Genomic DNA, 16,967 nt, shown 5'->3' on the forward strand with positions numbered 1-16,967 from the left:
TTGACTTTAGGTGTCACTATGGACGGTTCAATACGTTACCCAGAAATGTTGACAAACCTGAGCTTTCCACCGCTATTACATCCAGAATGAAATTCAGGTATGCTGGCAGAAATTCCAATATTCAAATTACTGCAAGAAAATCATTTAAGTCAAAAGTTGAAGGATGTTCAAGGCCCATGCAGAGCAGCAGGGAAGATCAGATTTCCGTACCCAACACTGCAAGAGAACGGGGCCCCACTGGACACATGGGTAGCTAGAAAACAGATGCGCGCCCAAAGCCTCCGCCGGCATGAGTTTGCTCCGTGTCTGCCCCACAGGACATAGGAGGCACTTGTCACGACTGCCAGCGCTGAGGACCTTGCTGCTGCTGGGGAGCAGCTACGTAGGTCAAGAGGATCCTTGGCATGAACTCCACAGGCACAGGCGCTTGCCTTCGTGCATTCATCTCTCGCGTGTACGTGTGGCAGTCCACGGCTGGAATCCGGGTGTGACTTAGGAGAGCAGGGCATAAAAGAGATCTGGCTTCCCTGGCTCTACTGGGATCTGCGCTCCCAGAATCCAGCTCCCTACGTGTGGAGAGAAACAGGGGAGCCCACCCACAGCCCTGCTGAGCTCCAGGTGAGAGCCCGGGCCAATACACGGGAATGAGTCACCTTCAAAGAGGCCCATTCGGGCCCCAGAAGAGCCCACAAGCTTCCCCGCCCAGCCCGGAAGAAACTGCAGACCTGCAGATGTAGGAGCGAGCTAAGGAGTGCTGCTGAAGCCCTGGGGCAGCTCCTGCATCCAGGGGAACCTGAGGAAGGAGCCACACAAAGTGAGTCCTGCGCCGCGCGGCCCGGAGAGAGAGAAAGAGGGATTCACACTTTGTAGAATAGCCTCTCCTTGAACAAGCAGCTTTCAAATGCAGTAACTTTGCAAAGATGAGCTCTTATAGTTTGTGTTCTTCTTTAGTAAATTTTTTATAAACGGGGAAATGTGCATAGTCTGAAAAATGGCAGTGCTGGGGACTAAACTGTGTCCCCCAAATTTCTTACATTGAAGTCCTAGCCCCAGTGTGACTGTATCTGGAGGTAAGGTCTTCAGGGGGTAACTAAGGCTAAATGTGGTCATAAGGGTGAGGTCCTAACCCAACAGAACTGTGGCCTTATAAGAGGAAGAGAGCCGGGTGTGGTGGCACATGCCTGTCACCCCAGCACTTTGGGAGGCCGAGGTGGGGGAATTGCTTTAGCCCAGGCGTTCCAGACCAGCCTGTGCAATATTAGCAAGACGCTGTCTCTACAAAAAATAAAAAAATTAGTTGGGTGTGGTGGCATGCACCTGTGCTCCCAGCTACTTGGGAGGCTGAGGAGGGAAGATCACTTGAGTCTCGGAGGTCGAGGCTGCAGTAAGCACTGACTGCACTGCCGCACTCCAGCCTGGGTGACAGAGTGAGGTCCTGTCTCAAAAAAGGAGGGAGAGAGTCATCTCTATCTGTACCATCTCTAGCACAGCAAGAATACCACCTTATTCTTAAGTGTGCAACTCAGAAGAGAGCCCTCCCCAGAAGCCGACCGTGCTGGCAACCCCATCTCAGTCAGACCTCCAGCCTCTAGAACTGTGAGGAAATACATTCCTGTTGCTTAAGCTGCCTGTGGTATTCTGTGATGGCAGCCCCAACAGCCCAATGTGAGTGGCCCAACTTAGCGACTGTCAACCTCGCCGTGGTGCCGAAGGGACGCGCTCAGGGGCAGCCATGCCTCAGCGTCCACGCAGCCCTTCAGTTTCCACTCTCAGTGTAGCACTCGGTAAGCTACACGAGGTATTTACACTTTTATTTTTATTTATTTATTTTTTTGAGACAGAGTTTCGCTCTTGTTGCCCAGGCTGGAGTGCAATGGCATGATCTCGGCTCACTGCAACCTTTGCCTCCCGGGTTCAAGCGATTCTCCTGCCTCAGCCTCCTGAGTAGCTGGAATTACAGGTATGCGCCACCACGCCCGGCTAATTTTGTATTTTTAGTAGAGACGGGGTTTCTCCATGTTGGTCAGGCTGGTCTCCAACTCTCAATCTCAGGTGATCTGCCTGCCTTGGCCTCTGAAAGTGCTGGGATTACAGGCGTGAGCCACCACGCCCGGCATCTACACTTTATTATAAAATAAAATCGGCTTTGTGTTTGATTTTGCCTAAGAGTGGAGGCTTCTGAGTATGTTAAGGAAGGCTAGAGTGAGCCATAATGTTTAGTAGCAGGTGTATTAAATGTATTTTCAATTTAAGATGGTTTTTTAAAAGAAATTTTTTTTTAACCAACAAAGCAAAGGCAAATAAAATAAGTTTATTGGGATGTAACCCTATCATAAATTGAGGAGCATCCATACAGGCAAGCTATAAAATCTGGAAAATTTAAATCAAATTAAATTCTGCTTTTAAAAAGGTGCCTTAAGTTAACCAAGCATTTTGATAACACATTCAAATTTAATATATAAAAATAGATGTATCCTGGAAGATATAATGAAGAACATGCCATGTGTATAAATTCAGAATACGCTTTTTACACAAAGAACTACAAAAAGTTACAAAGACAGCCTTCAGGAACCACACTTAGGAAAAGTGAGCCGAGCAGCCTTCACGCAAAGCCTCCTTCAAAGAAGTCTCACAAAGACTCCAGAACCAGCCGAGTCTGTGAAAAAGGAATTCCAGGTTTTCATCAGGCTGAAATTAGTTACAAATGAAGGAGATTAACTCGGGTGTGCTGAAAATCTCAGCCTCAGCATCCCTGGGAAAAGCGCCTCCAAGAGTTCCGGCTTCAGGGAGCCTTGTTGCAGTACCGGACCGGTCTCATCAGCACAACCAAAGTGGAAAGAAACAACTGCTCACCCGTCCTCGGGGCTCCGTGTACTTTCAACACACCGTGGACAGGGGAGGAAATGGGTTCTGCTTGCTGACCACCAGCTTCTGATGCTGATGCGATATGTAGCCTTTGACGTGTCCCTGCGGGGCAGAAAGGGAGGAATGCGTTTACATTTTTGGATCTGAGTCATGTCAAAGATGCTGGGTGATCTAATTAATTTGGCATTAGCATTCTTCCCCAAGAGCGGCACAGTTCAGTTCAGCGGGAAGACAATGAGTAAAAATAAATACAATCAACCCTCTATATCCACGGTGGGTTTCATATCCATGAATCTAACCAACTGTGGACTGAAAATATTTGGGGAAAAAAAATGCATCTGTAATGAACACGTACAGACGCTCTTCCCTTGCCGTGATTCCCTAAACAATACAGTACAACAGCTATCTACAGTGCACTGAGTATTTTAAGTAACCTAGAGATAATTTAAAGTATACAGGAGGACGTGCATAGCTCATATGCAAATACTACGTCCTATCAGTGACTGAAGCACCTGTGGATTTTGGTATCCGAGGGGGGTTGGAGAATCGACAGATACCGAGGGATGTACCGCCAGTAAAGAATATGCAAACATACAAGAGTATCCGTCCCCTCATGCTCCTAAGGCCCTGGTGAATGGTATTTCCTGGGCTAAAATTAGTTCTATCAAAAAAAAAGCAGAAGGCCTTTTAACAATTTTAACACCACCACACTGAAGCTTCAAATTCTGGGCTGAATCTTGCTGTGAGTAGCTGCTTAAATTAAAACCAGGACTCACACACCATGTATATCAAGTTAGCCAGAATACACTGAACTTCGTCAATGTCCACGTCCTCCACCTGCATGAACTTCAAGGCAACCAGAAAAGCATCCAGAGACAGCTGGTGTGTTTTCAGTAACAAATACCTGGAAGAGGGGAGGAGAAGGGCACTGTGGTTACCGACAGGATGCAATACTCCACAGCCAAGAAAAGGCACCTCTTAATAAGCCGGTGTTCTAAAGGAGTAAAAAAATTCCCACCTATTAGATAAACTCTAAACTACACTCTCAGAGCTATTAAATCTAATTTGACTTTTCAATCTTTAAAAAGTCACTAGTACAAACACAATTTTTAATTATTTTCTAAGTATTTCATTAAGGTTCGGTTTTTTTTTTCACATTTTAATCTCCCTGAAATCAGGAAGCACCTGACAATGGGCTGTGTCTCACAGACTCAGCGAAATAGGGTCCCTACTGTTTGTGACGTGCTACCCACAGCTCTATACAAAGTTGGCCTTTGCCTGAAGTTTACACAACTGAGATCCTGCTGGGACGAGGCCTCAGAAGACGTGTGAGGAAAGGAATGACGATCTCTGCATCTGCCTTTGTGACAGGCAGAAGTGGCTGGGAGGGCTACTTGGTCAGCACTAAGGGAGGGGAGTGAGTGGCGAGTCCTGTGTGCTCTGATGAAATGTGGTACCGCGGCTCTCAGGGCTGATGTTCTCAAGTTGTCTTCTCACATAGAACCTGCTTACCTCCCCCACAAGTCCAGGCACAGCTTGTGCTACTCACGTGTCTCGCGCAGGGTCCCCAGGAGGCAGTGGGCGGAGGCTTCATTTTATCCCACACAATGGAAGGAAGATAACGACCCCACCCACACGGTGGCCTTCTCTCTTAGACTGCAACAGCCCTGGATGTCTGACTGCTCTGCCGAGAGCCACACTGGGAGCCCAATGTGCCGGGGAAATGCTTACACTTTCTTAAAGAGGTTCCTGTAGGTGATGATCTTCAGCTTCTCCAGGATGAGGAAGATTCCGCAGCGAATGAAGAAGGCCTCGTGCTTCGCCAGCGCCTCGTGCAGCAGCAGCAGGTTGCCCTCGCTGGTGAGGGGGGAGGCGCGTCAGAAGGAGGGTGAGTTTCTCACAGAGCGTGCACGTCAACTCTCATCAGGCTTGCATTTTTAAAACCCCAAACAGGAAGGATGGCATACTCTACCTCACAGCTCTGGTTACTTCCGCAAACTGCATCAGGTGATACTTTTTCAGGAGCTCCACAGTGGGCATGTGACCCTAAGAGTCAATTTTCCAGAATGAAAATGCTTTCATTTTTGACAAAATTGTCCTTGATAAATATTCATATCAAGGAATTAAGTTTTAAGAAAATTGCAACCTGAGTTTCTTAGAATGTCCATGGATTAAACACATCATAGTACACTAGGAAAACAACACAGGTCTAGAAATCAGAACACCTGGGTACAACACACTTTTGTCATTCCATGACACGTGACCTTGATCTTGACCTTCTCACATTTCTTCGAATTTCTATAACAGGAGAGTGATAACTGAAGAAATGCTAGTATAAGCATGAGATGTAGGCATACGGAAGTAGCTTCCAGAAGAATCAGCTAAGCATTTGAAACTGGCTGTCAGTTAAATGGGGTGAGAAGTGAGGAGGGCAAGGCCACAGCAGCGCTTCTCCATCACAATCCATTCAGAGCTACAGAAGCTTTAGCCACCTGTGTGCAATGCTTTTCTCATTAGTCAATTAACTTACCAGTTATTTCAAGTATCAAAAATACATTTTAGTAACTAAATGAAATACCCACAGAGAGGGTGAAATGACATTTTTCTTTCTTGGTGAATCCACTGCTTTTAACTTAGGTTTTAAGGGAGGAATACAAATGATACGTACTTATTTTGTCACATGAACGTTAAACTCTTGAGTTAAATACTTTTAAGGGAAACAAGACACAGGGAGAGCTTTTCTAGAAGGACCTGGAGGCGTAAGGCATGAAGCTCTGGGTTTGGGCCACACACAATGCATGCGCCTTCTTTATTTTGGGGTGTGCTCATACACAGCTCAGGCTGTGATCAACTACAGACTGTCTGCTAGGTTTTAAAAAAACCTATCAGCTGTCAACTTTGTGAAAGCACCAGGATCTATAAACATGGAGTAATAATCACTCACCAATAGCATTTTTACTGGAAGCAAATAGATCAGAATCATCCTTTTGTTCTTCTGACTAGAACGGTGACAATGCTCAAAGGCAAATGACAGGTACTCCTCAGCTGCAAAGAAGGCAGAGCCAGCACGCATGAGACCAACGCACCTGCTTCAGGCCCCTTCCTGCTCCATTTTCTACCACTGTCTCCTGATTTAAAAGGCAAAAGCCCCCTCCCTTTATTATCTCAAAAAATATCATCCCAGTTTCATTTCTGTGATCAATGACTTTCCTTAAGTAAAATCCATACCCCCAAATTCAACAGGAACTGCCTGGGAAGTCCTACTTAACAGAGGAAAACTGAAGAAAATAACTTTCACAGAGATTCTGATTTGCCTAAGGTCAGCTGGCAAACCATTATGATAACATTTTAAAAGTCTGACCCTGCTCAGATGATTTCTACATTCATGAAAAATATAAAGACATATTTAAAAATGTACCTCCACAATACATTTTAATCACCCATAATTAAACAATGAAAATAACTTAGTAAAACACCATCCTCCAGCTTAACATATAATTAGTGATCATATATCTTCCATTTTAAATGACCACATGCTTTAAAAAATTAACTTATTATTACTAACACACAACATATTAATTCTGTCCTGAGAGCAATATTAAAAAACAGATTTGAATTTAATAGATTTCAAAATACAAAAGTAATTCTATTTGTCAAGATTAATCCCACAAACTGCACGACAGGCCTGCAAAGAGTTCAGCACATGCTAACAAGGAACTCTCAGAACAGGCAGGCAGGAGCTGAGCCTTGTCCTGAGGCTGGAAAGCTGAAGGGTCAGGGGTTTCTGGACAATGATTCCACATTCTCCCTAGGTGAAGAGAAGAGGCTTCACTAAGGCTGAGTTTGGGTCAAGAATTAGGAAAGTGAGATGTTCCTGTTTATGTAAGTTCTTCCTGAACAGTGATATTAAGTCCCAAATATAAGAGAACAGAGATGCTCAGAGCTGCAGAGGCCCTCCCTTATGCAGAATGGGTCACCAGAAGCAGCAGGCCCTGGGGTCTGGGTCGAGGCCTAGGGAACCCACACTGAGACCACACACTGCCTCTGCTCCTAAACTATGTGGCCACATTGGCACAAAAAACATCCAGTCTTGCACAGTGAGCGTGAATGCTGTGGGGCCAGCGTCTCTTCCAAACCACAAAGCCATGACCCACGAGGAGCCCTGTGGGGCTGAGACCAAAGAACAAGGATTCACTGAGAGTCTGCAATATCCCACCAGCTGCCAGTTTGACTTTTGCAAACTAGCCTCTAAAAAGTGTACCTTTGCTACTGCCCAAGGTAATCTCAAATTCTCCTGGATGTACAAAAAATGCATTTTTTCTTTTTCTTTTTTGAGATGGAGTCTTGCTCTGTCGCCAAGCTGGAGTGCAGTGGCGCGATCTCAGCTCACTGCAAGCTCCGCCTCCCGGGTTCACGTCATTCTCCTGCCTCAGCCTCCCGAGTAGCTGGGACTACAGGCACCCACCACCGTTGCCCAGCTAATTTTTTGTATTTTTAGTAGAGACGGGGTTTCACCGTGGTCTCGATCTCCTGACCTCGTGATCCACCCACCTCAGCCTCCCAAAATGCTGGGATTACAGGCGTGAGCCACCGCGCCCGGCCAAAAAATGCATTTTCTAATAGTTAATGCAAGCTGAGATTTTTCTGCTGTCTTTGAGGGAACCTAAGTCATTTTGCATCAAATAATATATTTCGGTTGGAGTCAAAAATATGTAGAGGGGTATAAATCTCTGAAATTAATAAATTAATAAAAGTATACATACAACAACTGAGATACTCCAAATACTCTTTCTTACATAAATAATATAAAATCACAGGAAAGAAAATCACCACAATCTCTGCAGACATTTTATCCACTTAAATACAATCAGGGCTCTAGGAATTCCTAGCAGTAAAATGGAAAACAAAATCTCTGCGAGCTACAAGGCAGAAGATCTATGGCCAGCGCTGGCTTTTTGGGGACACAGAATTACTCAGTAATCTCAGAGCATCACACTCTCAATGGCTTCCTATTTCTTTTATAGTCAAACGAAAGGGTTGGATGATACAGACTTAAACAAACTTTTTAGCTCTAAAGATGTCAGAAACTATGACTATGTCGCATCAATATTAATAACAATTTCTGGCTATGTTAGGTATTCAAAAATACCACTTACTGAATCCTCAGAAGAAAAAAAATCAGTATCTTAATAAAATCCAATAGGATAGAATTTAAAAGCTTCTCTACCTTTATGCTTCATATTAAGAGAAAAAAAAAGAGACAGATAAGAAAAGCCCTTCTTTAAAAGCCCTAGATCTACTAAAAACTGAAAGGAAATGGTCAGTCCATACAAGCCCACAGAGTAAAAACTGTGAAAGGAAATGGTCTATACAAGCCTATAGAATAAAAAGCCAGAGCGTCCTTATGAAAGGGCTATTATTTATCTTGCATTGCCTAAAGTTATGTTGCTTCATGTACTTGGGACTGTGTGCTCCACAAACAGCTGAAGAAGAGTTTAAAGTCTGGTTTGAGCACAAGAGAAGAGATCACCAAGAATGATGCCGTGACAGCCGATAAAAATTACAAAAAGAAGACTAGTTTCCTGTTCTTGAGAAAGTTACCAACGTAAACTAATACAATAGTGTCAGGTGTGGCAGCGACACGCCGTGCGAGGCTGTTTAAACAGGAGCTCTGTGGTAGCGACACACTGCACGAGGCTGTTTAAACGAGAGCTTTGACACCAGGTCCAAGGGCATATCCCCTGCTTCTAAGTCATCTCCATGCGGGATGTGTAGGTCATGAAGTCAGTCGCTGAACTAAATGTTGTCCTAATCTCCATTTCCTATGTCAACATAACCAGCATCTATTACAGGGTCAAAAAGCAAATAAAGAAAACAATGATTTACATTCTATTCTGAGAACAGTCATGCTCAGTGAACTCAGAAACGATGTCTGTAATGCCTGTGAGACTCCAGCATGCACTTCAGAGACCCAGTATGGATTAAGAATCTTCAATATAATTTCCCTTTAATCAGCTTTAGTGTCAAATATGTATATATAACTTGGTCCACATTTAAAAATAAAATACAGTAATTGTGTTCTCTGAAACTATATTATTCAAAGTTGTTCAGAATGCAATGTCTTATTTAAAATACTGGGAAAAAAAGATTAGCAACATACCTTGCTTAAAATCGCTGTCAAACATAGCCTTGCGTCCAACGTAGTATTTGTATGTTACTCTCTGTGCAGTGCTGTAATCGTCTTTCAGGTTTGAGCTGTCAATTGCTCTAATTAGGGGTTTACATAAATGGAGTTTGTTGATCTATAATGAATAACAATCCATTTAAAATATTTAAAAACAACAAAAACAGGTGGCAAAACAAATTACTAAGCATGTCTCCTTAAAATGCAAATTACAAAACCTATTATATCATAACAATTATTTATATAATAAAACCAAAACAGAGAGCAGCCAGCATAGATGGCATTCACCCTGGGAGGCTCTGCAAAGCCGTTCCGGGGGCGCAGCCCTGCAGGAGCCCATGCTGGTGGAGGCTCTGGGAAGCTGTTCCAGGGGGCGCAGCCCTGCAGTGGGAAGCCGTTCCAGGGGGCACAGCCCTGCAGGAGCCTGTGCTAGTGGAGGCTCTGCGAAGCCGTTCCAGGGGGCACAGCCCTGCAGGAGCCTGTGCTAGTGGAGGCTCTGCGAAGCCGTTTCAGGGGGCGCAGCCCTGCAGGAGCCCGTGCTTGTGGAGGCTCTGGGAAGCCGTTCCAGGGGGCGCAGCCCTGCAGGAGCCTGTGCTTATGCAGCACCGGCAGGAAGGTGGGGTGCTCTACAGGAGTGGAAGGCACTGGACAGAAGGCACAAGTCCCAGCTGCTGACACGTGATGGGCTGCTCTTCACCTGACTGACTTTATGTGGCAATGGTTTCTTTATCCATCTATCCATCTACGTGCCTGCTTTTCCATAGTTAATTATGACCACAGAAGACAAAACGCTCTGGAGTGAAACCGCCTGCACTGAAAGCCCAATTCCACCACACTGGGACAGCTGCTTCACACACAGGGGCCTTCGTTTCCTCTGGGGCTGGGAGCGCTAACCTCAGAGGGCTGATTGTCAACAGGAAGACATTTGTAAAGCATTCAGAATAGTGCCTTGCACCTAGTAGGCATTCAACAAATGTTTGCTATTAGGACTAGGAATACGGTTATGATCATTTCACAAGCAACGCCAGGGAGGCTAGCTGATATATATATGATATGTGGGAAGCCCAGGACAATCGAAAATTGTAAAGACAGAAAGGATTCAAACAGAAGCACACCTTGAAGTAGATTTTAAACAGCTGGTTCACCAGAAACAGCATGCCCCACTTCTTAGAGTCCTCTATACCAGCACGGCTATGGGGAAATAATTTTTTTTAAGTTACATAGGAAATAAAAATTTTATTTATAAATCACAAAATAAACTGCCTAAACAAATTAATATCTTGAGGTAAGTCCCAAAGCTCAAGTCATATTCATATCAACTTATTCATATCAAGTCATATTCATCAAACAAAATAACATTATGAAAAAAGATGTCTTACCTGATGGGTAAAAATAAAAGAGAAAACAAACCAGGAAAATCCCAATTAACTACTTGAGTAACATCCTTCCTCCGCGGCACCAGCTAAAAACTGCCTCATTTGCAGCAACAATGCGTAAAAGTTAATTGTTATAAACCGTTTTTGAAAAATGGAAAAATAGGGCATGGTGGTGTGTGCCTGTAATCCCAGCCACTCAGGAGGCTGAGGCAGGAGAATCACTCAAACCCGGGCCAATGCACTTCAGCCTGGGTGACACAGCGTGACTCCGTCTCAAAAAACAAAAACAAAAAAAGAAAAGAAAAATGGAAAAATACTTCTCATCAGTACGACAAAACAAACCAGTAAAACACACAAAGAGGATGAGTCCCACCAAGGCAGACACAAAAAGTACACACTGTGGTGGTCCATTTACATGAAGTCACCGAACAGGCAGGAAGCAACCCACAGTGGAACAAATCCAGACAGCTGAAAGGGCCTGCCCCACATGAGGGATGAGGGAAGTTTCTGGGGTGGCAATCATGTCCTATACCTCAGCAGCAAGCAGACAGATAATACTGTAGGTAGTTCACTGCATGCAAATTTTACCTCAAAAGACTGAAAAAACAGAAACTGAAGAACCTAGGGGAGGGTGTGCCACTGTCTGCAATTAACCTGGAAACAGTCACATGTTACACAACATTTCGGTCAACTACAGATGACCACATGTGAGATGGGGCCCTACAGAGTCTCACACTTGACCACATGTGAGATGGGGCCCTACGGAGTCTCACACTTGACCACATGTGAGATGGGGCCCTACGGAGTCTCACACTTGACCACATGTGAGATGGGGCCCTACGGAGTCTCACACTTGACCACATGTGAGATGGGGCCCTACGGAGTCTCACACTGTATTTTTACTGCATCTTTTCTGTGTTTAGATCTGTTTAGACACACAAATAATTCCCACTGTGTTCCAGCTGCCTACAGCATTTAGTGCAGCTCTTGCTCCTCGCAGCCTAGGACCCACAGGCTGCGCCACACAGCGGGGGTGTGTAGCAGGCCACGCCATCTCGGTTTACGAAGTACACTCTGTGGTGTTAACAAAATGATAAAATCACTCAAAGTCAAGGCACAAAAATACAAAAGTGCCCAGTACAGAAAACAAGCAGGTGGTTTACAAGCCACAGAACATAAAATTACTCTTAAAGACCAAAATGTGTCCATATAGAAACACTTAAAATAATGTAAAAATACAATTTTAAAATATCAAACCCTGTTTTATAACTGCCTGTGAGCTGCTCTAAGCAGGTCTATGACTTTTATCATTCCCTACGTGCATGACCTCAAACAAAAGTCTCTCAAGGTCTCGTTTTCCTCATCTGAAAACGGAGACAAATAATAATACTGTTCTATGACTTCAAAGAGCTATGGAAAAACCAAACAAAACACACAAGTACTCCGTAACTCACGTAAAACGCTACACGCATGGTAATATCGTAGCTGGTCTGGCACCAGGAATGATGACCTCTATTGGAGACTGTGACAAAAGCAAACCCCAACGGGAAAGAGATGTCACTGGGGATCTGCCCTGTCTTCTGAGTGTCCCCTCAGGGTGGAAATGCTGGGTCACATGGTAGCTCTACGTCCCACTTTCAGGAACTGCCTTCCCATTTCCGCACAGCAGCTGCACTGTTTTTGTTCCCCTGGCGATGTGTACGAGGCTCCAGTCTCCCTGCATCCTCACTGGCGCCGCCCGTCTTTCTGATTACAGTCATCCCACTGGGTGTGGCCTGGCAGCTCTCAGAGGTTCTGATGTGCATTTCAAGTGACTGATGCATTAGTCATTGGTGACTAAGTCACTGGTGATTAATGACCTTGAGCATCTTTTCATGCACTTACTGGTCACTTGCGTATTTTGTTTGGAAGATTTTTCAAATTCTTTAAACATTTTAAAGAATTTGAATTGGATTGTCTTTTTACTGTTGAATTGTAATAATTCTTTATATATTCTGGATATTAGGCCCTTATCAGATGTATTATTTGCTAGGTTATGGTTGTTTTTTACTTTTTTGAGAATGTCCTTTGAAGTCTAAAGTTTTTAATTTTGATGAAGTCCAATTAATTTTTTCCTTTGGTTGCTTATGCTTTTGTTGTCGTATCTGAGAAGCCACTGCCTAATCAAAGGTCGTGAAGATCACTGCTGTGCAAAAATATACGATCAAGCGAAATGTCAAGTATTCATTTAGGAAACACGGATTGAGCTCCTGGGGTGCAAGGAACGCTAGTGATGGAGAAGGCCCACGCCCTGACGCACTTCGCCATCAAATCGTTTGGTAAACGCAGTGAAAGAAATGTACAGTCTGCTATGAATGTTTATAAAAGGGAAATCTGATCCACCGTGAAGTCCAGCAGTGAGAGGCTTTAGAGAAGGCGGAAACCTTTAAATGAGTATAGACTGCCAGGAGTCGAGGAGAACCTTCCAGCAAAGGAAACGGCACCCATGGGAGGCCTCAGTGGGAAAGTGCCATGGCATAGGAAGGACTTTTCTACAGTCCAGCCTTGGTACGAAAGTTCTGAAGCGAGGCTGGGTAGGGAGGCCATGTTACCCCCACAGCACTATACATCTTGTAGGCTTGGCTGAACAGTTGCACAACTCAAACTCTGCCTATCTTCAGCAATAGGATGCCTGAGGTCAGAGGCTCCCCTCTTGGTTAAACCAGCTAAGACCAGCAGGATGCTAAGTGGAAGTCCACCTGGCCTTTGCAGGGCCTCCAACTTCATTACAACCTCATTTGCATGCTCCGTGACACTCCCACCAGTGCCACAGCGGCTGACAATCACCATGACAATGACGGGAAGACGCCGTAAAAGGACAAAAAGATGGCAGTGCTTCAGCTCCCAGAAGTTCACCGTCCATTTCCAGAAAAGCCATGAATATTCTTCCCCTTGCTTTCAATGTCCAACCCCTTCATTCAAGAAACCCTCTATTTCAATCCCCTCACCCCTCAGGAGTAGAGAAGTTGATTTGTGAGCCACACTCCTGCTTCTTCATTCCTTGGCCTTTACATACAGCTTGCTCTGCTCAACACTTACTTTCGGTTTCATGGATGGGATCCACAACACCCAAAAGGAAAAGTTCCCATCTTTTGAGGCTACAGAGTTTATTGGCAACAAACACAATGAGTGAAAAGAGAAGCTGGGCTACTGCTATGGTTTGGATGTGGTTTTTTGGCCACATCAAGCCTCATGTTAAAACCTGATCCCCGTTGTTGGAGGAGGAACCTAATGGGAGGTTTTTGGGTCATGGGGGTGGACCCCTCATGAATGGCTTGGTGCTGTCCTTGCCATAATGAATGAGTTCTCGCTCTGAGCTCCTGTGAGCGTTCCCAGACAGCTGGTTGTGGAAGAGCCTGGCGCCTCCCCTTCTATCTCCTGCCTCCTCTCTTGCCATGTAGTGGGCTCCTCTTTGTCTTCCAGCATGAGTGGAAGCAGCCTGAGGCCTCACCAGAAGCAGATACGAGCACCATGCTTCTTGTGCAACCTGCAGAACTGTGAGCCAAATAAACCTCTTTTCTTACATTCCCCAGCCTCAGGTATTCCCCTCTTTTCTTACATTCCCCAGCCTCAGGTATTCCCCTCTTTTCTTACATTCCCCAGCCTCAGGTATTCCCCTTTTCTTACATTCCCCAGCCTCAGGTATTCCTTTATAGCAACACAAGAGGACTAAAACAACTACTCTCTGGGAACAATAGTTTTTTGTTTATTTATATATGGATACCTTTGATAATCTTTCTTTGCTTTAAAATTTCCTAAATCTCATAAATAAATGTGATTATATAATTGGTGAAGAGATGGGAGTTTTAGAAGAAAAAATGGAAATTCTAAAGCAGAATCAGACGGAAAGTTGAGAATTTAAAAATAAATAATGGCAGAAAAGATCAGTCAACTTGTAAGCAGGTCAATACAAATTACCTAAAATGAAGGAGAGGAAAAAAAAAAAAAAGGATTGAGGTCAGGTGCAGTGGCTCACGCCTATAATCCCAGCACTTTGGGAGGCCGAGGAGGGTGGATCACCTGAGGTCAGAAATTCAAGACAAGCCTGGCCAACATGGTGAAACCCCATCTCTACTAAAAATACAAAAAGTAGCCGGACGTGGTGGCATGCGCCTGTAATCCCAGCTATTCAGGAGGCTGAGGCAGGAGAATGGCTTGAACCCAGGAGGCGGAGGTTGCAGTGAGCTGAGATGGCACCACTGCACTCCAGCCTGGGCGACAGAGCAAGAGTCTTGTCTCAAAAAAAAAAAAGATTAAAAAATAAACAAAGACTAACAGCGGCCTGTGAGGGATAATATCATGCACTTAACACACATGCAGTTGAAATCCCAGAAAGAGAAGAGAAAAAATGGGGCCAAAAGTAGTTAAAGAATGTAAAACATTAAATTTTTAAAAACATCAACTTACAAATACAGGAAGCCCAATGAACCCTAAACAGAAGAAATTAAAAAAAAAAAAAAAAACCAACTATGCACATCAGAGCCAAATTACTGAATGCCAATGATAAAGAGAAAATCATAGCCAGAGGAAAAAGACCCATTCTATACAGGGAACGATGGCAAGGACTCATCAGAAGCAAAGGAAACCAGATGGAATGACATTTTTAAAGTGCCAAAAGGAAAAAACTGTCAACCCACGAGACTCCATGTAGCAAATGGAGCCTTAAAAATGAAGGTGATCAGTGCTGCTTCTTCACTGGTAAAGAGAGAACATTTCTTAAAAAAAATAACGAGAGTTTCAGAAAAATGAAAGCTTAAAAGATTCACTGCCCTCAGACCCTCACCAAACGCAAATGTGGAAGAAAGTGCCTCAGGAAAGGGAAATGGCACTAGACGGAAACTGGTTCCTGCAGAGAGGAGCTCCAGGCATGGTCAAATGTGGGCAAATGAAGACTCTTTTTTCCCTCAGCTCTTATTTCCTTTACAAAACAATCAACTTTTTAAAGCAAAAATAACAATGGTTGTGGGATTATAGCATGTGTAGAAATGAAATATGTGTCAACAATAAACACAGGCCAGAAAGGGTGAACGCTGCAATGAAAACACCACCAACAGCGTCTGGTGGTCGGTCCTCAAGTCCTTACTCACGTGTCGCTGGCACAGACCCGGAAACAGCTCATCAGTAACTCTGCTGCTTTTTCCAACATGTCCCCAACTTTGCTTTTTCCTTTCTTTACCAACTGTTGATCTGCCTAATAAAATATAAGAACTTTTATTTCATTTTTCCGAAGCAAGATCTTGCTGTGTCGTCCAGGCTGGACTGCAGTGGCACAATCACACCTCACTGCAGCCTCAACCTCCTGGGCTCCACTGATCTTCCCATCTCAGCCTCCTGAGGAGCTGGAACCATGGAACCAGGTACTACCATGCCTGGCTAGTTTTGGGTTTTGTTTTTTTAAAATTTATTTTAATATTTTTTTCTTTTTTTTTTGTAGAGACAGGGTCTCACTTTGTTGCTCTGGCTGGTCCTGAACTTCTGACTCCAAGTAATCCTCCCATCCTGGCCTCCGGAAGTGTTGGGATTACAGGCATGAGCCATTGTGCCCAGCCAAAACATTTATTTCTTGAAGCAAAAAATGGGTACAATTAAGACTCAAAGTCCCGAAAGATCCTGGAGAAATCAGCTAGCATGTACTATAATATTTTTAAAAATTGAGAAGTCTGTATTACTCCAATTCTTTCACAAACCAAATCTTTCTTCAATTATTTCAAGTTAAGTCAGTCACCAATTTTTCAAACCTGCACTGCATATGTTACTAAGCAACTAAGCTCTCTCTTCAGTCCCTGAAGTTGGCTAGTCAAAACACTTGAAATAAAAACGTTTAACAAATATTAAAGTCATCACTGAGTTTGACTTTTCCCTCGCATTTGGGAGGATGGCCTTGGTTAAAGAAGAAAGAGTCTGTTTCTGCCACTTGTGTTCTCCACAAACCCGAGGCCTGCAACAGGCTTGCAGATGACCCACAGCTCAAACTATATTCACAACAACACTAAGCCATTATGGTCTTTTTTTACTGTATTAACGTTTGCACTGATGGTGCAAAAACAGCAATAGGTAAAATGCTGGAGTGCTCCCACCGGCACCAAACTACGCAAGTAATCACCACGTTCTTAAACACCAGACACTCTGCAATCAATCAGTCAATCAACAAACCAGTAAAATTAGTTTCCTTTAAAAAATGTCCTCGATGAGCCAAGCACAGTGGTTCACACCTGTAATCCCAGCACTTTCGGGAGGCTGAGGTGGGAGAATCACTTGAGCCCAGGAGTTTGAGACCAGCCTGGGCAATATGGCAAGACTCTGTCTTAATTAAAAAATTTTAAATTAGCCCGGTATCATGGCGTAGACCTGTAGTCCCAGCTACTCAGGAGGCTGAGGTGGGAGGCTTCAGCCCAGGAACTCAAGGCTGCAGTGAGCTATGACTGCACCATTGCACTTCAGCTTGGGTGACAGAGCAAGACCATCTCTAAATAAATAAATAAAATGTCCTTGATAATGCAGTA

The 16,967-nt window shown here is 44.2% G+C and overlaps 1 protein-coding gene across 23 annotated transcripts in view, besides 2 other annotated features; it reads right to left on the reverse strand.

The window, feature by feature from the left end:
- The window catches only part of PCID2 (PCI domain containing 2), a 43,668-nt gene that overhangs the window by 10,319 nt on the left and 16,382 nt on the right, over nucleotides 1-16,967 (reverse strand). For 5 of the 23 annotated variants that reach the window (NM_001127202.4, NM_001353094.2, NM_001353092.2 and 2 more), the window contains 8 exons: nucleotides 15,552-15,655; nucleotides 10,165-10,240; nucleotides 9,026-9,167; nucleotides 5,810-5,910; nucleotides 4,838-4,911; nucleotides 4,597-4,722; nucleotides 3,646-3,769; nucleotides 2,216-2,967 (listed from right to left, as the gene is read on the reverse strand). In NM_001127202.4, coding sequence (NP_001120674.1) covers nucleotides 2,878-2,967; nucleotides 3,646-3,769; nucleotides 4,597-4,722; nucleotides 4,838-4,911; nucleotides 5,810-5,910; nucleotides 9,026-9,167; nucleotides 10,165-10,240; nucleotides 15,552-15,655 — 837 coding nt within the window. In that variant the 3' untranslated portion in view covers nucleotides 2,216-2,877. Of the gene's footprint in view, nucleotides 1-57; nucleotides 130-2,215; nucleotides 2,968-3,641; nucleotides 3,770-4,596; nucleotides 4,723-4,837; nucleotides 4,912-5,809; nucleotides 5,911-6,270; nucleotides 8,709-9,025; nucleotides 9,168-10,164; nucleotides 10,241-11,879; nucleotides 13,960-15,551; nucleotides 15,656-16,967 lie in introns of those variants that run through there. The other 18 variants (NM_001353091.2, NM_018386.5, NM_001320656.2 and 15 more) reach the window with 10 other exon arrangements.
- Nucleotides 11,761-12,960: an enhancer, noted in NCBI's record as "CDK7 strongly-dependent group 2 enhancer chr13:113841395-113842594 (GRCh37/hg19 assembly coordinates)". NCBI's record gives its function as "activates an origin of replication core promoter dependent on BRD2, BRD4, P300/CBP, MED14 and CDK7 cofactors, with strong dependence on CDK7, by STARR-seq in HCT116 cells {active_cell/tissue: HCT116}" and the evidence as "EXISTENCE:reporter gene assay evidence [ECO:0000049][PMID:35650434]".
- Nucleotides 12,135-12,429: an enhancer, noted in NCBI's record as "tiled region #3704; HepG2 Activating DNase matched - State 14:Gen5', and K562 Activating non-DNase unmatched - State 25:Art". NCBI's record gives its function as "activates a minimal TATA promoter and a strong SV40 promoter by Sharpr-MPRA in HepG2 cells, with weak activation in K562 cells {active_cell/tissue: HepG2 | K562}" and the evidence as "EXISTENCE:reporter gene assay evidence [ECO:0000049][PMID:27701403]".

The sequence above is a fragment of the Homo sapiens genome, chromosome 13 (genome assembly GCF_000001405.40).
Source record: "Homo sapiens chromosome 13, GRCh38.p14 Primary Assembly".
In the NCBI taxonomy this organism is placed as follows: domain Eukaryota; kingdom Metazoa; phylum Chordata; class Mammalia; order Primates; family Hominidae; genus Homo; species Homo sapiens.